The sequence below is a fragment of the Homo sapiens genome, chromosome 19, assembly GCF_000001405.40.
Source record: "Homo sapiens chromosome 19, GRCh38.p14 Primary Assembly".
Classification (NCBI taxonomy): domain Eukaryota; kingdom Metazoa; phylum Chordata; class Mammalia; order Primates; family Hominidae; genus Homo; species Homo sapiens.
Window position 1 is genome coordinate 2423696 of NC_000019.10, and position 18635 is coordinate 2442330.

The window sequence follows — 18635 nt, forward strand, 5'->3', positions numbered from 1 at the left end:
AGGTGATCAGGGATCCAGGCAGAGGGCACCAAGGCAGGGCTGGGGCCTCTGGGGCGGGGCCCTGGTGTGTGCAAAGGCCTTGGGGTGGGAGGGAACTCCTGGAAGACGGAGATGTGGGAGGCTGCCATGAGAGGGGCCTCCGGCAGGGGAAACGTATGGTCCCAAAACTGAAGTCATAGGAAACAAATGCATTTCCAATGTTATTTGAGAAAAGCCCAAAGACCAAGCAGCAGGCCCAGTGTCCTTTCCTGCTGAGTTTTCCTGGGATAGGTCCCCCATCACAACCTACTCCCTGGGGCTCCCAGGGGGATTCGTGGAGAGGCGGCGCCCAGGGGGGCCTTCGTGGAGGAGGTGCCCTGGGTCCGCCTGCCCACGCGCCTGGCTCCCCCGCAGACTGTGGCCTGGCGCCGGCCGCGCTCACCAGGATTGTGGGCGGCAGCGCAGCGGGCCGTGGGGAGTGGCCGTGGCAGGTGAGCCTGTGGCTGCGGCGCCGGGAACACCGTTGCGGGGCCGTGCTGGTGGCAGAGAGGTGGCTGCTGTCGGCGGCGCACTGCTTCGACGTGTGAGTTCCAAACGCTCCAAATGCCCCTACATGTCTCTGTAGCTCACCCGGAACCGAACTGTTGCCCGAAAACGCACCCTGACCCCCTCCTTTGCCGGGAGTGCCCTCCCCAACCCCGGCTCCCACTGCCCCAGGCCACTCCTCCCACCCCCCATCTCCCCATCCTCGCTCCCTGCAGCCCTCCCCTGACCACCCACCCCCTAGCCTGACCACACGGGGCTGGGGCTGCGAAGGCCGAGTCCTACCCCGCGGTCCCCACCTAACCCGGAAGCTGCGGCCCCCCCCCTCCAGCTCCAGGCTAAGCCCACGGGAACATTGGGGTCACTTCTTTCCCCAGCCCTCGCCCCTGGGACTTGGCTCCAGCCCCCCAAAGCCCACCCAGTAGAAAGCTGCCCTCCCCAGGGCCCAAGCCCTGGCAGTCGAGGGGTCCGGTTTTCCAGAGGGGACACCCAGCTCTGGGCTCTGCAGGGCTGGAGGTCAGAAGGGGAGGGCAGGCGGGGGGCGGGACTCGCACGGCCACTAGACCCCTTTTCAGAGCGCTCATATTAGGTGGTGACGGCTGCAGTTCCCGGTGCCGCCTCGGTGCCTGATGGGGGAGACTGAGCCCATTCCCAGACCGACAGCCAGAGACCAAGAGGCCAATAACCCTGCCCAGGGTGCCAGCCGGCCGCTGGGGGACACCACAGGGGCGGGGGCCGGGGGCGTGGGGGCTCGGGCCGACGCCTGTCCTCGCGCGCCCCGCAGCTACGGGGACCCCAAGCAGTGGGCGGCCTTCCTAGGCACGCCGTTCCTGAGCGGCGCGGAGGGGCAGCTGGAGCGCGTGGCGCGCATCTACAAGCACCCGTTCTACAATCTCTACACGCTCGACTACGACGTGGCGCTGCTGGAGCTGGCGGGGCCGGTGCGTCGCAGCCGCCTGGTGCGTCCCATCTGCCTGCCCGAGCCCGCGCCGCGACCCCCGGACGGCACGCGCTGCGTCATCACCGGCTGGGGCTCGGTGCGCGAAGGAGGTAGGCGCGCCCGGGGCCGCGGTGGTGCGGGGCTCGGGGGGCGGCCGGACGCGGTCCCCACCCGCCCCGTCTCGCTCGCCCGCCCGCAGGCTCCATGGCGCGGCAGCTGCAGAAGGCGGCCGTGCGCCTCCTCAGCGAGCAGACCTGCCGCCGCTTCTACCCAGTGCAGATCAGCAGCCGCATGCTGTGTGCCGGCTTCCCGCAGGGTGGCGTGGACAGCTGCTCGGTGAGCCCCGCCCCGGCCCAGGGGACCAGGTCCCGCCCAGCCGCCGGGGAGGGCGGGTTCCCGCTGCCACGAAGCCCACCATCCGGGAGCCACCCTCCGGTGCAGGCTTCTCCAGCGGATCAAGCAGGGAGCCTTTTTGGCTCTGGAGGAATTTCCACTCCACAGCCGTTTATTGGGCAACCCACCGCATCCCATCCCCGGGCCTCGGCGGCAGAGCAGGCAGAGGCTGCAGTGGGAGGCACCGTTCCACTCCGGGACCACGTGGCGGGTGTCCATAAATGTCTGCCACCTTTGCATTGAGCCCATTTTCCAGATAGTGAAAATGCGGCTCCCAGGGGAAGTCACTAGGGTCACTCCTAGAGGGGCCAATGACCCAAGGGCTGCTGTAGGGGAGGTACCGGCCTCTGAACCCCCTTTCTTCTCTCCCCAACAGGGTGACGCTGGGGGACCCCTGGCCTGCAGGGAGCCCTCTGGACGGTGGGTGCTAACTGGGGTCACTAGCTGGGGCTATGGCTGTGGCCGGCCCCACTTCCCAGGTGTCTATACCCGGGTGGCAGCTGTGAGAGGCTGGATAGGACAGCACATCCAGGAGTGACCACCACGTGACTGCCCAGGCCGAGACTCTACGTGAAAGCAACAGGAGCAGCAGGCCACCCAACACCCCACCCCACCGTACCCTACCCAAGGACGGGTGTGGGGGGGCTGTGGGTCATGGGGATGCATTTTGGTACCACCCTTTGTTCCAATAAACACAGCCCCTCCACCCTAGCTCACTGGCTCAGCACCTCAGTGTCACAGCGAGGACCACCTGCCTGGTGCTCCACCAGGACCCGGGGTGGAACGAAGCAGGGTCAAAGCAAGCCCTGACAAGGGGAAGGCTGTCCCCCTTAGCCTTTGGGGCAGGGGTGGCAGCAGCAACACATTCCTCGTGACTCAGCAGCCCGGTGGCACTAAGGGGAAAGATGGACTTCTCCCAACCCAGGGGAGGCTGAGACCCTCCGAGCTGGGGTTCCAGGGACACGCGTCACCTCTTCCCAGAGACCCCTCAGGAGGGAAATAAAGAGGTTTCTCTCCGTCCTCCACCAATTTATTTGCCCATCCGCAGGAGGTGACAGCTCCTGTGGTGTCTGACCACCCCCAACTCCGAAGTCCAGACAAGCTGTCCGCCCAGAATATGAGGCTGACTTGGGCACACTAGGGGAATACCCCAAAGGCCTGAAGGAGGTGCCACTGGGCTGCCAGCACTTCAGGAAGGCACAGGGCCCCACACCCCCGAGATCCAAGCTGCACTGGCTGGCAGGGGGCAGGGCGGGGGGTGGCGAGGACACAGTCCCGTGTGTCCCAGCACCGGTGCCACCCTCCTAAGCCCCGGGCAGGCAGTACGTACATGCGGACCCCGCCTCTCAAAGCACGTTTATGGAAATGAACAGGGTGGGGTGGCCCGCGCTCGCCGGTCACATGTTGGCTCGTTCCCGCTGCAGCCGCGAGTTGTAGGCGCGAGACACGGTGTTCCAGGCGTCCATGTAGCGGTCCATGCACATGGCGATGCACTTCTGCGGGAGCGGAGGGGCGCACGGCTCAGCTCGGGACTTCGCGGCCCCGGGGACCGCCCTGACCCCGGCTCCAGGACGCCCGGGCTGCAGACTACGCACGTGCAGTGACCACTCCGTCGCACCTCCCCGTTAGTCTGCGCACGCGCAGACACCTCCCCCCTCGAATCTAGGCCCTCGCGACCCTTGCCCCGAACCTCCGCGGGTCTCACCTGCTCGGAGTTGTCCAGGGAGCCCCCAGGTTTCCCTATACACTTCCGGAAACACTTGTCCGTCATCCTCTGTGGAGACACGCGAGGCTTTAGCCGCGACGTCGGCCCCCAGGGGTGGCCCTGTCGCCCCCAGCGCCCGTCCCCGGCCAGCCCCGCACCTGCAGCAGCTCCTGCGCGTTGGCCACGGCGATCTGCACTTTCACCTGCTCCATTATGAGCCCTGGGTCCAGCTTCCCGCTGCCGGAGCCCCCGAAATCGGAGCCGAAGCCGCCCTCCATGGCTCCGCAAAGTCAACCGGACCGAGGCCGCGTGCGCCGACTCGTAACTAACTGCGCCGGAAGCGGGCCGCCCGGGGCACCACGGGAAACGGAGTCCGCGCGGACGGGGACGGAGGACTACAACTCCCACACGACCGCGCGCGCCCGGGCCATTCAAGGTCGCGCGGGGGGCCCTCCGCTCATGCGGAGGCCTGGACCTGCCGTTACCTACACGAGCTACCCGTGGTTGCGACTCCGCGGGAAGAGGGAGGCCCTGACTTGGCCGGGGAGTAGGGGGGCTACTACGTGCGGCCGAGGCCGATCACTTTGTACTCACGCTCTGCCTCCAGCTCGTCCCGAAGGGCCTGCCGCGCATGCGCACGAGGCACCCGGCGCGTCTATACAGCGTGTTGCCGCCGGGGCGGAGCCCGGTCGCATCACGTGACGAAGAGTCAGCTTGTGCAACAGCGTCGGAGGCTCACTAGAAAAAAAAGGGCAGGGTCCCATGCATCGCCTGGGTCCTGTTTACACTAGCTACACTAGCCAGTGACCTTTTTCCTTGGGGGTGGAGGGATCTTTCTTAGACATCCGCTTCATTAGGGCAGAGGCCCCGGCTCGAGCTTCCCCTCAGGAATAAACTCAGAGGCAGAACCTAAAATCAAAATGTTTATTGGAGTGTTGTACAAAAAAGTTTCCAGTCATAAAATGTATATTACAAATCATTGGAAAAAAAAAAGAACACATTAGGCATGCATCTTCTTAAAAACCGAATCTCTGAAATGAAAGTCCATGCCAGCCCCAGCTGCAGCCCAGCTCCGTTTTTGCAGGTTGTGCTGTGACGCTCGCTGGACGCAGGGCTTGGAAGAGGCTGCAGGCGGCGACGCCCCAGGACTGAGGAGTCCCTCAGATCTTTAACAAAGAACTGCCGCGTGCAGGCTTCAGACCAACCCCAGCCAAAGCCGCTGGCATGAGGACAGGTGCATGATCGGATTCTGGGTCAGCCCGCAGGCCTCCCGGCTCCTGGGCTCAGCGGGGCAGGCTTCAGCGTTAACCTGGCGCTGTGCACCCCAGAACCCGCGTTGGTCCAGCAGGCGTGGGCCTCCCCCCAGGGCTGGGTGGCGTCTGATGCTTCGCAGGGAGGGCGCTAGGCTTCGAGTCACACGGCACGGGCTTACACAGAGGGATGGTTTCGCATCGTTCTAAGCGGCACACAGCTAAGCGTATTTGGGGACAAATGCAAATTGTTTCCCAGGCCATAAATAACTTTTAAAAATTTGATTTTCTTAGTGTTTCCAAAGACTCAATTCTCAATGAACCTCCAATTACCCACAGGCTGCCCAGTCCACGCTTCTCCCCACCCCCTTCAGCTAAGGGCACCCGCAGTCCTAGGACCACCCCCAGCTCCACCCAAGGCAAATGTAGGGTGGGGGGTTCTGTGGGCCTGGGGCGTGCTGTTTTCAGGACAGGACTGGGCAGCGTCTGGACATGAGGACCTGCGGGTTTTGGGGGGGACTTTGTCCCTGAGCCCAGCCTGCAAGGCTGTCGGCAAATCACAGACCAACTCCAGGATACAGCTTTGCTCCTCCAGAGCCAAAATACATAGGATGTGGCTGAGACCACTGCAGACTCCCCATAGGACAAGATCACCAAGACCCACCCCCAGAACCCTCGCTAGCACGAAGCCCAGCCAGTCGGGTCCGGGTGATTCCTGCTATGAAGGTGGGAAAGAGGACACAGTCTGTCGCCAGCATTCCCACTTCCAGCGGCTGGCAGAGGGTATCCCCGGGGCAGGCAAAGCTCCCTACCAGCCGCCTGACTGGGAGCACAGCGGCGTAGCCTCCAGGAGGAAATGCTTTGGTAAGATGCGCCCCCCTCTATCTACATGGGACCGGGACTTCTGAGAGCAAGGACAGCGAGCAGGGGCTACGTGGAGCAGCGGGTGTTTCTGCTTTGTCGGCCGCTGGCTCCTTCCCGGCCTGGGGCTGGGGCCCCCCATTCCTTCCTGCCACAGGCAGGTCCCCAGGGAGGCGGGATGCAGTCACAGGGGAGCGGTGCCGCCCCCGCCCTGCAGTGAACGCCATGGCCCGGAGACGGCGCGTGCCCATGGCTCAGTTTTGGTGTCTTTAAGACTTGAGCTGCACTTTCTGAAGGAGGCTCTGCCGTCGGAGGGTGCCCCAGCCCCACGCCACCCCGGGGAGGAGGGTCAGCCTGTCCTCAAGGCCCTGGCGTGAGCTCCTGACCTGTGTACTGACCAATGTAAAAAAATAAATATCCATTAAAAAAATAACTTCTGTGTATCTATGAGGGAGGGTGTAAACGGTGAGCTATTGCCGAAGGGGGGTGCCAGGCATTGGGAAGCTGGACTGAGGGGCTTGGGTGCGTCGTGATAGGAGTCAGGTGGCCTTGGCCTGTCTGAGAAACATGGTTTCAGCGAGAAAATCACAGATAAAAGCACAGTATGGATAGACGCATGTGTATATATAGGCACAGGGCAGACGGAGCTGGAACACGGGAGGGGCTCCACAGCGCTCTCCTCCAGAGGGTCAACATGGTGGCGTTCCCTGCAGACAGCTGTTCTGAAACTCACAGCTTCTGCCTCCAAGGCAACCAGATGTGTCCCCTCCACATCTCCCCTCCCTGCTTATTGTTGTGACAGGTCTTACGACGGGACTGTCCTCATTCTTCCTTCCCCAGGTCTTCCCCTCCCCTGCCCTGTTGGCCTTGCACAGTCAGGAACTGAACTGCGGGAAAACTCCCCCAAATAAAGTCAACGGTCCGAGAAACCCGGCCGGTGCGCTGCCAGAACGGGAATCTGGAAGCCCAGGCAGCGGAGTGAAAACCCGCCCTGGGGGCCACGCCATCCCCATGCTGGCCCACACCCGCTGCGTGGCTGCCTGAGGAGTTCCCGCTGTCCGAAGCTGGGCAGCCAGAATGCAGGCTTGGCCCCGGGCCCCACCAGGTCGACGCCTGGATTCTGAATTTGGTTTTGTAGAAAGCCTTAAAAAAACCCACCACCACTGAATTCCTACGCAGTTTCCGCGCTCCGTCCGCAGCAGGGCCGTCTCCTGTCCCCTCGCTAGCCTCGCCGGCCCTCCTCCCTCCAAGCCCAAGCATCTTCTAAACCTCCGGGTCCTGGCCCTGGGCTTCCAATTTGACCAAATGGTGAGATGAGGAGTGGGGTGGGATTGAAAAGTCTCCGGGGCAGCGGCGAAGTGGCAGCGAAGTGAGGCTGGAGGAGACCCGCCAGGAGGGAGGGCTGGGGGAGACCCACCCACACGTTCTGGCAGTTCGCTTAGAAATTCTCTAGAAATGTATCAAGAACTAAAGAAAGCCAATGATATAAAAATAGTTTTCAGTGGCTCTGGGTAAAGAAAGGTGTGTGGATGAGGAGTGTGGGTTCACATCACGTAGCAGCCTCTTGAGGTGGTCCTCGGGTCCCCCTGCAGGAAGGAAGGAAGGAAGGTCGGCCATGATCAGGGCCAGCCTGGAGGCAGCCGGCAGGTAGATGGCTGCCCCCACCTCCCCACCAGGGAGGGGCTGAGCAACAACAGTGTCTATTTCTAGAGCCTTCCATTCCACTTCCATGTCCCCATGAGCCCGCCTGTGAGCTACACATTCTGTTCTGGGTTCCAAAACAGTCACAGGAACTTGCGACGCACGCGTTTAATGCAGCTGTGGTTTCTGCACTCATCTTCTCCCCAGAAGCCAGTATTGAAGGGACCTGTGTCTTCGACTGAGGAAGCCGGTTGACCAGAGAGCATTTGGGGAGCTGTTCAACACCCACCTCTCAGGGGACCCCCTGGCCAGCTACCCTGAGGTCTGTGATGTCGCAAATTCACACGATGGGCACGACCCAGGAGGCAAGAACAGGTCTCTGCCGTGCTGGTAACAGCCAAGGCTGGCTTCACCCTGAGCCACGGCAGCCAGATGGAGCTCCCGTCGGGGATGCGGCCAGCACGCATGTGTATGTGTGTGCACGAGCTCACTCTGCCCCAGAGGCTGCCCCCCAGCCGCAAGTGGGCACAGGGGTCCTACCTGTTGGTGGAAAAGATCCTCCTCGCCAAACTCGGCTTCCTCCTCCTCTTCCTCCCCATTCTCATTCTCACGCATCACCGAGGACTTCTTCACAGTCCTCATGGCCACTTCCTGTGCGGGACAGGACACGGCGGCATGTCCCGGGATCGGGCCCAGAGCTGCTGTGGCGGCCCCGAGGGTGCCCAGACCCTGCCCAGGACTCCAGCCGAGCACCCCCCAAGCCACACACACCCACCTCGCCATCCGCGTTAACCAGGACGGTGCGGAAGCTCTCGCCCGTGCCCCAGCTGCTCTGGCCCTTCCACACCAGCGTCGAGGGGGGGCTGTGGGCCACCCCCGCACCAGCTGCCCACACCTGAGGACCCAATAACAATGGCCCCATCAGGGTCACCTCTGGTTCCAGGGACGTGGGCCAGCCAGTGGCCCCTACCACAAAGCCCCCTTCAATGCCCTGGGCGTTCAGTCCTTCCAGCCCGACGCAGGCTTATCCAGGGTGATGGTCCCCAGGATACACAAGAAGAGACCAGGGTTCACAGAGGCCAAGGGCTCTTGGCAAGCAGGGGCTGAACTGGGATCTGACACCCACCAGGCTCCATGGCCCATGCGCCTGACTGTTAACACTTCACGGGGACGCCTGCCAGCCCCAGCAGCCTGGACTCAGACCCAGGGCACACCACTCAGGCTCCAGGGAGGCCCAGTGGGGTGACACCAGCACATGGAGGTTCTATGACTGCGGCAGCCGCTCTGAGACGGTGCCTGGTGCCACCATCATCCCCACCCACCCCCGCCAAGTCCTGTGCCTCCAGTCCCCTGACCCCACCTCACACCCCATCCGTGGCCACCCTCGCCCTCCTGCCCCACCACCTACCGTGACCATCTGGCCGGCGCGCAGGATGTACTTGGGCGTGAACTTGTAGGCGATCTCCTCCCCCTCCAAGACCTGCCTCTTGATTCTCCAGTTCCCCAGAGACTGATCCTGGAAGACACGGCACACACCTGACCCTCAGCCACCAGGACTGTGACACCGCCCCCATCGCCCTGGCTGGTGGCCCCATCACCCTGACCCTGGTCACCCCCACCAGCTAGGTCACCCCATTACCCCCATGCCCTGGTCATTCCAGTCACCTTGTCCCCTGCCTCGTCCTGACCGGCGGCCCTGTCACCCTGACCCTGGTCACCCCCATCAGCTAGGTCACTCCATTACCCCTGTGCCCCGGTCTTTCCAGTCATCTTGTCCCCTGCCTCGCATTGGCCGGCAGCCCCGTCACCCTGACCCTGGTCACCCCATCAGCTGGGTCACCCCGTTACCCCCATGCCCCGGTCTTTCCGGTCACCTTGTCCCCTGCCTCGCATTGGCCGGCGGCCCCGTCACCCTGACCCTGGTCACCCCATCAGCTGGGTCACCCCGTTACCCCCATGCCCCGGTCTTTCCGGTCACCTTGTCCCCTGCCTCGCATTGGCCGGCGGCCCCGTCACCCTGACCCTGATCACCCCCATCAGCTGGGTCACCCCGTTACCCCCATGCCCCGGTCATTCCAGTCACCTTGTCCCCTGCCTCGCATTGGCCGGCGGCCCCGTCACCCTGATCCTGGTCACCCCCATCAGCTGGGTCACCCCGTTACCCCCATGCCCCGGTCTTTCCGGTCACCTTGTCCCCTGCCTCGTATTGGCCGGCGGCCCCGTCACCCTGACCCTGATCACCCCCATCAGCTGGGTCACCCCGTTACCCCCATGCCCCGGTCATTCCGGTCACCTTGTCCCCTGCCTCGTATTGGCCGGCGGCCCCGTCACCCTGACCCTGATCACCCCCATCAGCTGGGTCACCCCGTTACCCCCATGCCCCAGTCATTCCGGTCACCTTGTCCCCTGCCTCGCATTGGCCGACAGCCCCGTCACCCTGACCCTGGTCACCCCCATCAGCTGGGTCACCCCGTTACCCCCATGCCCCGGTCATTCCGGTCACCTTGTCCCCTGCCTCGCATTGGCCGACGGCCCCGTCACCCTGACCCTGGTCACCCCCATCAGCTGGGTCACCCCGTTACCCCCATGCCCCGGTCATTCCGGTCACCTTGTCCCCTGCCTCGTATTGGCCGGCGGCCCCGTCACCCTGACCCTGATCACCCCCATCAGCTGGGTCACCCCGTTACCCCCATGCCCCGGTCATTCCGGTCACCTTGTCCCCTGCCTCGCATTGGCCGGCAGCCCCGTCACCCTGACCCTGGTCACCCCCATCAGCTGGGTCACCCCGTTACCCCCATGCCCCGGTCTTTCCGGTCACCTTGTCCGAGTTGTTCTTGAGCTGCACAAACTTGCCCTCCAGGTCGATCTCCTCGATGCTGACGCTACCCGAGGCCGAGGCCTGCTGGGCCAGGTGGAAGCCACCGCTGCCACCCGTGCCCGTGCCCAGGACGCTTGGGCCGCTGCCCAAGGGCTCCTCCACCTCCAGCCGCTTCCGCTTACTGCGGCCCAGGCGCCCGGTGGCGGACAAGCTGCCGCTGCTGCTCGAGGTGGCTCGTGAGACGGTGACGCGCGAGGATGGGCTGGGGGACAGCTTCAGCCTGTGGGGAAGGCAAGGAAGGTGGGACTGGTAGTGGGAGCCCCAGACAGCCCAGGGCACGCAGAGTGGCGGCCACGGCCCGGCCCCACCTCCACCCCTGCCCAGCACTCCCCGCAGCCCCGTCCCGCCTCTCCTCCTGCCCTGCCCCTCCTCCTCACTCTGTGCTCCCAAGCCTCCTGGCCTGCCGCACCTCTCCTCCTCGCCCTCCAGGAGCTTCCGGTAGGCGTTGATCTCCATGTCCAGGGCCAGCTTCACGTCCAGCAGCTCCTGGTACTCGGCCAGCTGCTGCTGCATCACGTCCCGCATCTCCGTCATCTCCTGCTCCTTGGCGTCCAGCATCTTCCGGAACTTGTCCCGCTCCCCGGCCATGGCCTCCTCCAGCTCCCGAATGCGATCTTCAGCGGCACTGGCCTGCGGAGGGGGCGGGTGGCGAAGGTCAGGGCAGCCCATGGGTCACAAGGCCCAGGTGATCCTGGGACTGCGGGAGATGGGCCCTCACCACAGACTGGGGCAGAGACCAGGCCTGGGCATGGGGCGCACGGGAGGGGAGGGAAGGGGCATCGCTGGGCGCCCCGAGGGCTGCATCCGATGCCAAGAGGCCAGAGCCCCACGCCCCGCACATCCAGGGCAGGGCCCAGAAGTTGGGCCAGGGGGACGGCAGACGGTGGCGCTGTGCTCATCACCTGCTTCTGGAGGCCGGAGAGCTGGTAGCTGAGGGACTCCAGGCGCATGCGGGCCTCCTTCAGCTCCTCGCGAGCCGCACTGGCCGCCTTGTCGTTCTGGTCAGAGCTCAGCTTGGCGCTGTCCAGCTGTGGGGAGACGGGCGGGTGAGTGCGGGCGCGGGGCGGGGCGGGGTTCCCACCGGCCGCCCCCGCCCACCCGCCTGCCGGCCACACCTTGGCCTGGTAGGTCTGCTCCAGCTCCAGCTTGTAGAGCCGCACTTGCTCGTCGTGCTGGCTCCGCAGCTCCTCCAGCGCCTGTGCCATCTTGAAGTCGTACTCCTGCTGCCGGCTGCTGTCCACCTCCACCAGGCGCCGCTCGTGCCGCCGCCGCGTCTCCCGCACCTCCTGCGGACCAAGGCTTCGTGACCCTCTGGTCCCGCCTGGGCCCCAAGCACCAGGCCCAAGGGAGGGCTCAAAAATGTGCCAAGAGGAACCTCCAGGCAATTCCTGGTTCCTTGTGCACAAGTTACAAACCGATACACGTGCAGGTGAGAGGCGACCCAGGGGCCGTCCACGCGCTAGAACGTGACTCAGCCACGAAAAGGAGCGAGGCTCTGACACCGCCACAGCATGGATGCACCTTGAGGACGTCACACTCAATGAGAGACGCCAGACACAAAAGGCCACACGGTGCGTGATCCCATTTCCATGAAATGTCCTGAAATGTCCAGGACAGGCCCATCCACAGAGACAGGGAGGGGATGCGTGGGGGCCAGGGCTGGGGACTGCTGATGGGGAGGGGGTTCTTTTTGGGTGATGGAATGTTCTAGAATTAGAGGTGGTGGTTGCACAACCCTGTGGAGATCCTGCCAATGCTGAACTGTACACTTTAAAAAGGTGGACTTAAAATAGCCAGGTGTGGTGGCGGGCACCTGTGGTCCCAGCTACTCAGGAGGCTGAGACAAGAGAATCGCTTGACCTTGGGAGGTTGCAGTGAGCCAGGATCGCACCATTGCACTCCAACCTGGGTAACAAAGTGAGACTGCGTCTCAAAAAAAAAAAAAGTGACTCTCTCTTATAAAAGCCATTATTGAAGAAAGCGGGCCAGGCGTGGTGGCTCATGCCTGTAATCCCAGCACTTTGGGAGGCTGAGGCAGGCAGATCACGAGGTCAGGAGTTCGAGACCAGCCTAGCCAACATGGTGAAACCCCATCTCTATTAAAAATACAAAAATTAGGCCGGGCACAGTGGCTCAAGCCTGTAATCCCAGCACTTTGGGAGGCTAAGACAGGTGGATCATGAGGTCAGAAGTTCAAGACCAGCCTGACAAACATGGTGAAAACCCCGTCTGTACTAAAAATACAAAAATTAGTCGGGTTGGTGGCACCCGCCTATAATCCCAGCTACTCAGGAGGCTGAGGCAGGAGAATCGCTTGAACCCAGGAGGCGGAGGTTGCAGTGAGCTGAGATCATGCCACCGTACTCCAGCCTGGGTGACAGAGCAAGACTCCGTCTCAAAAGAAAAAAATTAGCTGGGTGTGGTGCTGTGCACCTATAATCCCAGCTACTCGGGAGGCTGGGCCCAGTGTGGGCAACAGAGCAAGACTCCATCTCAAAAACAAAACAAAACAAAACAAAACAAAACAAAAACAGTAGAAACGCTTCTGAAGGAAGCTGGCCACCTTTGCAGTCAGCAAGGCGGGTAGCCCAGGCAAGCAGAGCCCTGCGGGCCGCGCACCCACCTCCACGGCCGCCCTCCCGCCTCCACGGCCGCGCACCCGCCTGCACAGCCGCCCTCCCGCCTTCACGGCTGCGCACCCACCTCCACGGCCGCTCACCCACCTGCACTGCCGCCCTCCCACCCCCACAGCCGCGCACCCACCTCCACGGCCGCCCTCTCGCCTCCACGGCCACCCTCCCGCCACCACGGCCGCGCACCCACCTCCACGGCCGCCCTCCCGCCACCACAGCCGCGCACCCACCTCCACGGCCGCCCTTCCGCCCCCACGGCCGCCCTCTCCAGGACTCCGCACCCTGTGGGCTGCACAGGCCTGCATCATCAAGCTCCCTACCGCAGCTCCCTGTGAGGGCCCCTCCAGGGCCTCTTCCCGGCCCCTGCACCGCCTTCGTGGGTCTTTTCCCAGGTGCCCTGTGGGTTCCACCTGGGGCACGTTCCTGGGCCCCCGCACAGAAGCTCTCGTGAGTCTCTTCACGGGCTGTCTCACAGGTTTCCCCACAGGCCCCTTCACAACTGCCCTGGCGGCCTCCCCTCTGGCTCCTGTGGGGCCCCCCCCACTCCCTGGGCCTGGCCAGAGCGGGGCGCAGCTCCTGAGCGGCCTGGACATCCCTCCACCAGCAGCCAGCAGCTCTCCCTGGGCAGGGAGTGTGGGCCCGGCCGGCCCCGGCATTCCACCCTGCACTGTGACAGCACAATTGGTTCTAAAGGACACAGGCTGACGCCTTTCCTCCCCACTCCCCTCTCCGAGCCCCCGGAGGCAGAGGCCCCAGGTGAGGGGCTGCAGGTCAGGGAAGGAGGCTGGGTGGGGAGAGCGGGCCTCACCCTCGCTTTGGACAAGGAGGCCCTGTGGGAGGCTGGACGGTGGCACCCAGAAGATGCACCTGACGCCTGCCTCATGGTCTAGCAGTTAGGATCCCAGGCGGCCAGGGTTCAGCTCTCAGGGTGGGAACACCAAGCTTTTAGAAAGGCAAGAAATCAAAATAGACCTTCCTTGACACTGAAGAGATATGTTTTGGCTGGGCATGGTGACTCACGCCTGGAATCCCAGCAGTTTGGGAGGCCGAGGCGGATGAAGCACCTGAGGTCAGGAGTTCGAGACCAGCCTGGCCAACGTGGTGAAACCTCGTCTCTACTAAAAATACATAAATTACCTGGGCATGGTGGTGCACGCCTATAATCCAGCTACTCGGGAGGCTGAGGCAGGAGAATTGCTTGAACCTGGGAGGCGGAGGTTGCAGTGAGCCAAGATCGTGCCACCGCACTCCAGCATGGGTGACAGAGTGAAACTCCATCTCAAAAAAAGACGTGCCCACATCCCGATCCCCAGCAGCTGTGAATGGACCTTATTTGGAAATGGGGTCTCTGCAGATGCCATTAGGTCACTCTGGATGATCCAGGCAGGCCCCAAATCCAATGACAAGTGTCCTTGTAGGATACACAGAGTATGGACACAGGGGAGGCAGCCGCGGGAAGACAGAGGCAGACACTGGGGAGACGCAGCCGAAGCCAAGGGCACCCTAAGAGGCAGGAAGGAGCCTCCCTAGAGCCGTGGGAGGGACCCCGGCCACACGGTGCCCTCAGGCTTCCGCCCTCCACAGCCATGAGGGTGGACTTTGCGTTTCCGCTGTGCCAGGCTGGAGGCCAGGCCACTCACTCACCTCCTCGAACACACTCTTCCGGAAGTCCAGCTCCTCCTGCAGGCTCTGGCAGCGGTTCTCCAGGTCCACACGCATCAGCGTCTCCTTCTCCAGCTGCTTTTTGGCCACTGCATGACCGTCCTCGGCCTGGGAGACACAGGACAGCGAGCTGGTGTGACAATCTGTCTGTTGCATATACCCTGCTGGGGCGTCCCGTGGCTCCTGGCACCTACCTTGGCCAGCTGGGCCCGCAGCTCAGCCACGTCACTCTCCAGGCCGCGCTTGTCGCTGAGGGCAGCTGCCAGCTCCACCTCGCTCCGGTGGAACAGGGACTCCAGGTCCTTCACACGGCCCTGGGCCACCGTAAGCTCGCCCTCCCTCTTCTTGGCGCTGAAAGTCAAGAGGGCAAGTGAGTGGGGAGGGGCAAGGTCCATGGGGCCACAGGGAGCACCTCAGGGGGCGTCAGGCAAGCCCAAAGACAAGGTCACCGAGGCCTCCGAGCCCCAGACCTTCCCGTCCTGCAGACGACGCGGCCCCACGCGCCCAGGCAAAGGCACACGTGCCCTCATCATCTGCCCTGCACTGTCAGGAGTCCAGCAAGTGACAGGCACCAGCGCTTGGGACCACCCTGGAGGCATGGGCTTTCCCAGCCTCTCCTGCCTGTTCTGGACCCAGGACGACCATTTGGGGAGAAATTAATGCATCCTCTGTAAATGTTACAAAGACCCTGGCCTTTGAAGGGTCAGCCTTGTTTGTAAACTTAAGCTGTCTGAAGCAGGCTCACCTGGTTTTCCACTAAACCAAATTAGCTCCAACATTAGATATTTAAGATAGCAAATACTCAGGCTTTTTAAACACACAAATACTACCAGTGTGGATTGTAGGCACTTAAGCTTTTTTTTTTTTTTTTTTTTTTTTTTTTTTAAGAGACAGGGGTTCACTTGTTTGCACAGGCTGGTCTCGAACTCCTGGGCTCAAGGAATCCTCCTGTCTCAGCCTCCCAAAGTGCTGGGATTACAGGTGCGAGCCACCGCGTACGGCTGACTCTTAAATGTTTTTAAGCATAATTATAAGTCTTGGAGCTGAATTTTACCCCCTCCCGACAGGGAACTAACTATATCCTCCCAAGAAACAGTGAGGACACCCAGGGTTCCGCAGCGTCACAACTGCTGACATCTGGGGTGGTCTTGAGTGAGGGCACCCAGGGTTCTGCAGCGTCACAACTGCTGACATTTGGGGTGGTCGAGTGAGGACATCCAGGGTTCCGCAGCGTCACAACTGCTGACATTTGGGGTGGTCCTAGGCACTGCAGGGTGCTGAGCACTGTCCCTGGCCTCCACCCACTTCAGACCAGGAGCTTCTTGCTGCCCAGTTTTGACAACCACAAGTGTCCCCAGGAATCACCCAGTGTCCCCTGGGGACAGAATCACCCCAGGATGGGGACAACTGGGTGTATCTGGAATAACACAGCCAAGGCTGCTGGCTGGACATTCAAAGAACATCCACATCCAGGCGGCTCGAGCCCGTGGCCAGAGGTCAGAAGTGACAGGGACCTCTCCTGCCCAGCAGAATGCACTCCCGACTCTCCCTAGAGCCTTTTTTTTTTTTTGAGTTGGAGTTTCGCTCTTGTTGCCCAGGCTGGATTGCAATGGCGTGATCTCGGCTCACTGCAACCTCCGCCTCCCGGGTTCAAACAATTCTCCTGCCTCAGCCTCCTGTGTAGCTGGGATTACAGGCATGCGCCACCAGCGTCCGCTAATTTTTTATTTTTAGTAGAGATGGGGTTTCTCCATGTTGGCCAGGCTGGTCTCGAACTCCCAACCTCAGGTGATCTGCCCGCCTCGGCCTCCAAAGTGCTGGGATTACAGGCGTGAACCACTGCGCCTGGTCCCCCAGGGCCTTTCAAAAGACCACCTAGGCATTTGCCCAAGAAATGAAAGTGACCCATAGCTGAAAGTGACCGTATGTCTGTCTAAGTATATCTCCATCAATAACTGTATTTATCTATATAATCTATGTCCGTATATATCAATTCTACAGATGGCTGTATCTTTTTTTTTTTTTTTGAGATGGAGTTTCGCTCTTGTTGCCCAGGCTGGAGTGCAATGGTGCGATCTCGGTTCACTGCAACCTCCACCTCCCGGGTTCAAGCGATTCTCCTCCCTCAGCCTCCCAAGTAGCTGAGATTACAGGCAAGTGCCAGCACGCCCAGATAATTTTGTATTTTTAGTAGAGACGGGGTTTCTCCATGTTGGTTAGCCTGGTCTTGAACTCCCATCCTCAAGTGATCTGTCCGCCTTGGCCTCCCAAAGTGCTGGGATTACAGGCATGAGCCACCGCACCCAGCCTTACAGATAGCTATATCTATCTATTGCTCTATCTATTACTGTCTATCCATCTACCCATCATCCATCCATCCATCCACCCATCATCCATCCATCCATCCACTCATCTGTCCATCTATCCATCCACCCATCATCCATCCATCCATCTACTCATCCATCCATCATCTATCCATCATCTCCATCCATCCATCCTTCCATCCATCCCTCAATCATCTATCCATTCATCCATCTACTCATCCATCCATCCATCCATCTATCCACTCATCCATCCATCATCTATCTATCCATTATCTATCCATCATCCATCCATCTACTCATCCATCCATCATCCGTCCACCCATCCAGCCATCCATCCATCATCCACCCATCTCCCTCTCTCTCTCACTAGCTGCCAAGCTCTCACTCTCTGTGGGACTCTTCCTTCCTTCCTTGTGTGACCCGGGGAGGGAGGGCTGCCTTCCCAGCTCACAGTGCCCTCCCTGCCTAGGATCCGTAATAAATCTTCAAACTTGTTTCCTATCGCTGTGCTGAATTTGCGCCTTCTGTCAGAAGAACCAGGAGCTGCCCCAGGCTGGGATCCCAGTGCCAGAGCGATGGTCGGACAGGCATACCCTGGACACAGGTCAGACACGAGCTACGGGGCAGCCACTGTGTAAACAGGTCTCTCGTGTGAGGGGTCCCTGGTCGGGGGTCAGACAACCAGGTCTAAGGCCACCTGCCAGGTAAAAGCATCCGTGCCGGGTACCCTGAATCCCGGGTCTGGCTCCGGTTGTGTCCCGCCAGGGCAGGGCGGCCAGCCGCTCTGGCGCTGGACCTGGTGTAGCCAGGGCTCTCCACACACTAGAGGTGTGGCATCTGCTTGCTTTTGAGAGGCGTGAAGGCCAGAGACTTCGGCCACAAGGCTGATGCACCCCTGTCCGCAGCCCTCAGGGACACTAAGCTCTACTTCCCCACATGGAGCAGATCTCCAGCAGGGTCTGGGGTGCAGATCCCGCATCTCTGAGCACATGCCACACAGGCCAGGCCCTTTCGCTCAGAGGGCTGCGAGCCCTGCGGCCCTGCTGGGGATTTTTGCAGGGGTTTGGGGGAAGGTGGAATCTGTTGGGCAAATCCCGAGTGCCCGCTGTGTGGAAGGCACCGCTCTCACACCAGAGGTGCATCTAGAACCCTTGCCTTACACTGCGGGACGTCCTTGCGGAGGGAGGCATCAGCGACACAGGCTGCCTACCAGACAGGAGGTTGCCTGGGGGCAGGGCTGGAGTGGGGCTGGGAGACAACCCTGGGGGCAGAGACCTGAAGGAGCAGTGCTGGAGGAGCCAGGGCCACCGCTGCTGAAAGAGCCTTCCAGGCAGGCGAGCAGCAGTGCAAAGGCCCAGGGGTGAGGTGGAAGAGGCAGGCTGCAGACCAGCTCAGAGGACTGGAGCGGAGATCGGGGAATCCGGGAAGCTCCTCAGCAACTCGGTCTAAACCACAGGGTTCCGCAGGACTGCAGGGCACACCCAGAAGGCAGGGTGCGGGCTCCCAGGGCTCAGACCCGTTTCCTAAGCGCCAGGTGCTGAGTTAGAATCTTCAGCTGGGTGCCCGGGGTTTTGTGGCAGGCTCTGGCTTGTTAGGTCCTGCACGCTGCTCCCAGTGTTTCTCTCATTGTGGGGTTTTGGAGATAAATTTGTTAGGATAAGAAAAACATTAGGCTTGGCCCAGTGGCTCATACCTATACCCAGTGCTTTGGGAGGCTGAGGTGGGAGGATCACTTTAGCCTGGGAGTTGAAGACCAGCTTGAGCAACATAGCGAGACCTCATCTCTACAAATAATAAAAAAATTAGGCCAGGCATGGTGGTTTACA

At 61.6% G+C, this 18635-nt stretch overlaps 3 protein-coding genes and 1 non-coding gene across 10 annotated transcripts in view, besides 27 other annotated features; 1 reads left to right on the forward strand and 3 right to left on the reverse strand.

Annotated features, from left to right (window-relative positions):
* The window catches only part of TMPRSS9 (transmembrane serine protease 9), a 65997-nt gene extending 63431 nt beyond the window's left edge, over positions 1-2566 (forward strand). For all 7 annotated transcript variants that reach the window (NM_001395513.1, XM_011527978.3, NM_182973.3 and 4 more), the window contains 4 exons: positions 394-562; positions 1307-1572; positions 1662-1798; positions 2232-2566. In NM_001395513.1, the coding sequence (NP_001382442.1) occupies positions 394-562; positions 1307-1572; positions 1662-1798; positions 2232-2393 (734 nt within the window). In that variant the 3' untranslated portion in view covers positions 2394-2566. The remainder of the gene's footprint in view (positions 1-393; positions 563-1306; positions 1573-1661; positions 1799-2231) is intronic.
* Positions 1930-3891, reverse strand: TIMM13 (translocase of inner mitochondrial membrane 13). Its single transcript, NM_012458.4, has 3 exons — positions 3719-3891; positions 3561-3629; positions 1930-3351 (listed from the first exon to the last, which is right to left on the reverse strand). The coding sequence occupies exons 1-3, from the start codon at positions 3836-3838 to the stop codon at positions 3253-3255; spliced, it is 288 nt and encodes a 95-aa protein (NP_036590.1). The 5' UTR covers positions 3839-3891; the 3' UTR covers positions 1930-3252.
* Positions 2638-3381: an enhancer, noted in NCBI's record as "NANOG-H3K27ac-H3K4me1 hESC enhancer chr19:2426331-2427074 (GRCh37/hg19 assembly coordinates)". NCBI's record gives its function as "activates a minimal SCP1, AML or CMV promoter by ChIP-STARR-seq in naive H9 embryonic stem cells {active_cell/tissue: H9 hESC(naive)}" and the evidence as "EXISTENCE:reporter gene assay evidence [ECO:0000049][PMID:30033119]".
* Positions 3179-4678: a DNaseI hypersensitive site, noted in NCBI's record as "DH1-3; the nucleotide coordinates are approximate for this feature". NCBI's record gives the evidence for it as "EXISTENCE:in vivo cleavage assay evidence [ECO:0001075][PMID:8643660]".
* Positions 3382-4127: an enhancer, noted in NCBI's record as "NANOG-H3K27ac-H3K4me1 hESC enhancer chr19:2427075-2427820 (GRCh37/hg19 assembly coordinates)". NCBI's record gives its function as "activates a minimal SCP1, AML or CMV promoter by ChIP-STARR-seq in primed H9 embryonic stem cells {active_cell/tissue: H9 hESC(primed)}" and the evidence as "EXISTENCE:reporter gene assay evidence [ECO:0000049][PMID:30033119]".
* Positions 3526-4338: a replication regulatory region, noted in NCBI's record as "NotI/NruI fragment for CpG island". NCBI's record gives its function as "contributes to origin activity in transgene in ectopic contexts" and the evidence as "EXISTENCE:nucleotide analog incorporation evidence [ECO:0001107][PMID:15024083]".
* Positions 3526-4622: an origin of replication, noted in NCBI's record as "NruI/PvuII pB48 fragment; site of labeled nascent strand synthesis". NCBI's record gives its function as "functions as an origin of replication when moved to ectopic genomic contexts" and the evidence as "EXISTENCE:nucleotide analog incorporation evidence [ECO:0001107][PMID:1291239, PMID:1630457, PMID:8041756, PMID:15024083]".
* Positions 3572-3661: a silencer, noted in NCBI's record as "silent region_9788". NCBI's record gives its function as "represses an Ori minimal core promoter by ATAC-STARR-seq in GM12878 lymphoblastoid cells {active_cell/tissue: GM12878}" and the evidence as "EXISTENCE:reporter gene assay evidence [ECO:0000049][PMID:35858748]".
* Positions 4133-4652: an origin of replication, noted in NCBI's record as "B48BISSX-B48TERDX amplicon; peak of nascent strand synthesis determined by competitive PCR of labeled nascent strands". NCBI's record gives its function as "inferred origin of bidirectional replication (OBR)" and the evidence as "EXISTENCE:nucleotide analog incorporation evidence [ECO:0001107][PMID:1291239, PMID:1487146, PMID:8041756]".
* Positions 4212-4361: an enhancer, noted in NCBI's record as "active region_13685". NCBI's record gives its function as "activates an Ori minimal core promoter by ATAC-STARR-seq in GM12878 lymphoblastoid cells {active_cell/tissue: GM12878}" and the evidence as "EXISTENCE:reporter gene assay evidence [ECO:0000049][PMID:35858748]".
* Positions 4246-4271: a protein binding site, noted in NCBI's record as "E-box". NCBI's record gives its function as "binding in early G1 may promote loading of Mcm4; methylation sensitive" and the evidence as "EXISTENCE:protein binding evidence [ECO:0000024][PMID:22772991]".
* Positions 4303-4594: a replication regulatory region, noted in NCBI's record as "AT-rich origin protected region (OPR) replaced in eLamB2-mut". NCBI's record gives its function as "important for origin activity in ectopic contexts" and the evidence as "EXISTENCE:nucleotide analog incorporation evidence [ECO:0001107][PMID:15024083, PMID:15121836]".
* Positions 4383-4615: a protein binding site. NCBI's record gives the evidence for it as "EXISTENCE:protein binding evidence [ECO:0000024][PMID:23781282]".
* Positions 4383-4615: a protein binding site. NCBI's record gives the evidence for it as "EXISTENCE:protein binding evidence [ECO:0000024][PMID:23781282]".
* Positions 4401-4641: a protein binding site, noted in NCBI's record as "241 bp fragment". NCBI's record gives the evidence for it as "EXISTENCE:protein binding evidence [ECO:0000024][PMID:12902329]".
* Positions 4401-4641: a protein binding site, noted in NCBI's record as "241 bp fragment". NCBI's record gives the evidence for it as "EXISTENCE:protein binding evidence [ECO:0000024][PMID:12902329]".
* Positions 4460-4533: a protein binding site, noted in NCBI's record as "74 bp probe; contains two binding sites". NCBI's record gives the evidence for it as "EXISTENCE:protein binding evidence [ECO:0000024][PMID:10835276]".
* Positions 4460-4533: a protein binding site, noted in NCBI's record as "74 bp probe; contains two binding sites". NCBI's record gives the evidence for it as "EXISTENCE:protein binding evidence [ECO:0000024][PMID:10835276]".
* The window catches only part of LMNB2 (lamin B2), a 28794-nt gene continuing 14629 nt past the window's right edge, over positions 4471-18635 (reverse strand). The window contains exons 3-12 of the mRNA NM_032737.4: positions 14680-14836; positions 14468-14593; positions 11306-11476; positions 11093-11218; positions 10600-10820; positions 10131-10410; positions 8721-8828; positions 8088-8207; positions 7853-7963; positions 4471-7257 (exon numbers count right to left, since the gene is read on the reverse strand). Coding sequence (NP_116126.3) covers positions 7216-7257; positions 7853-7963; positions 8088-8207; positions 8721-8828; positions 10131-10410; positions 10600-10820; positions 11093-11218; positions 11306-11476; positions 14468-14593; positions 14680-14836 — 1462 coding nt within the window. The 3' untranslated portion in view covers positions 4471-7215. The remainder of the gene's footprint in view (positions 7258-7852; positions 7964-8087; positions 8208-8720; positions 8829-10130; positions 10411-10599; positions 10821-11092; positions 11219-11305; positions 11477-14467; positions 14594-14679; positions 14837-18635) is intronic.
* Position 4484: a replication start site, noted in NCBI's record as "replication start site; identified by primer extension of one-way PCR of nascent strands". NCBI's record gives its function as "initiation site of forward/rightward leading strand synthesis" and the evidence as "EXISTENCE:primer extension assay evidence [ECO:0001819][PMID:22983127]".
* Positions 4497-4498: a nucleotide cleavage site, noted in NCBI's record as "nucleotide cleavage site; topoisomerase (DNA) I; lower strand". NCBI's record gives the evidence for it as "EXISTENCE:in vivo cleavage assay evidence [ECO:0001075][PMID:17290216]".
* Positions 4501-4602: a protein binding site, noted in NCBI's record as "lbo I footprint". NCBI's record gives the evidence for it as "EXISTENCE:protein binding evidence [ECO:0000024][PMID:12902329, PMID:19690980]".
* Positions 4513-4514: a nucleotide cleavage site, noted in NCBI's record as "nucleotide cleavage site; topoisomerase (DNA) I; lower strand". NCBI's record gives the evidence for it as "EXISTENCE:in vivo cleavage assay evidence [ECO:0001075][PMID:17290216]".
* Position 4521: a replication start site, noted in NCBI's record as "replication start site; identified by primer extension of ligation-mediated PCR of lamba exonuclease protected nascent strands". NCBI's record gives its function as "initiation site of forward/rightward leading strand synthesis" and the evidence as "EXISTENCE:primer extension assay evidence [ECO:0001819][PMID:10720330]".
* Position 4524: a replication start site, noted in NCBI's record as "replication start site; identified by primer extension of ligation-mediated PCR of lamba exonuclease protected nascent strands". NCBI's record gives its function as "initiation site of reverse/leftward leading strand synthesis" and the evidence as "EXISTENCE:primer extension assay evidence [ECO:0001819][PMID:10720330]".
* Positions 4539-4540: a nucleotide cleavage site, noted in NCBI's record as "nucleotide cleavage site; topoisomerase (DNA) I; upper strand". NCBI's record gives the evidence for it as "EXISTENCE:in vivo cleavage assay evidence [ECO:0001075][PMID:17290216]".
* Positions 4563-4564: a nucleotide cleavage site, noted in NCBI's record as "nucleotide cleavage site; topoisomerase (DNA) I; upper strand". NCBI's record gives the evidence for it as "EXISTENCE:in vivo cleavage assay evidence [ECO:0001075][PMID:17290216]".
* Positions 9889-10577: an enhancer, noted in NCBI's record as "H3K27ac-H3K4me1 hESC enhancer chr19:2433582-2434270 (GRCh37/hg19 assembly coordinates)". NCBI's record gives its function as "activates a minimal SCP1, AML or CMV promoter by ChIP-STARR-seq in primed H9 embryonic stem cells {active_cell/tissue: H9 hESC(primed)}" and the evidence as "EXISTENCE:reporter gene assay evidence [ECO:0000049][PMID:30033119]".
* On the reverse strand, positions 11219-11305 carry MIR7108 (microRNA 7108). Its single transcript, NR_106958.1, has one exon. It is a non-coding gene; the product is annotated as a microRNA 7108 (primary transcript).
* Positions 17450-17951: an enhancer, noted in NCBI's record as "H3K4me1 hESC enhancer chr19:2441143-2441644 (GRCh37/hg19 assembly coordinates)". NCBI's record gives its function as "activates a minimal SCP1, AML or CMV promoter by ChIP-STARR-seq in primed H9 embryonic stem cells {active_cell/tissue: H9 hESC(primed)}" and the evidence as "EXISTENCE:reporter gene assay evidence [ECO:0000049][PMID:30033119]".
* Positions 17952-18451: an enhancer, noted in NCBI's record as "H3K4me1 hESC enhancer chr19:2441645-2442144 (GRCh37/hg19 assembly coordinates)". NCBI's record gives its function as "activates a minimal SCP1, AML or CMV promoter by ChIP-STARR-seq in naive and primed H9 embryonic stem cells {active_cell/tissue: H9 hESC(naive and primed)}" and the evidence as "EXISTENCE:reporter gene assay evidence [ECO:0000049][PMID:30033119]".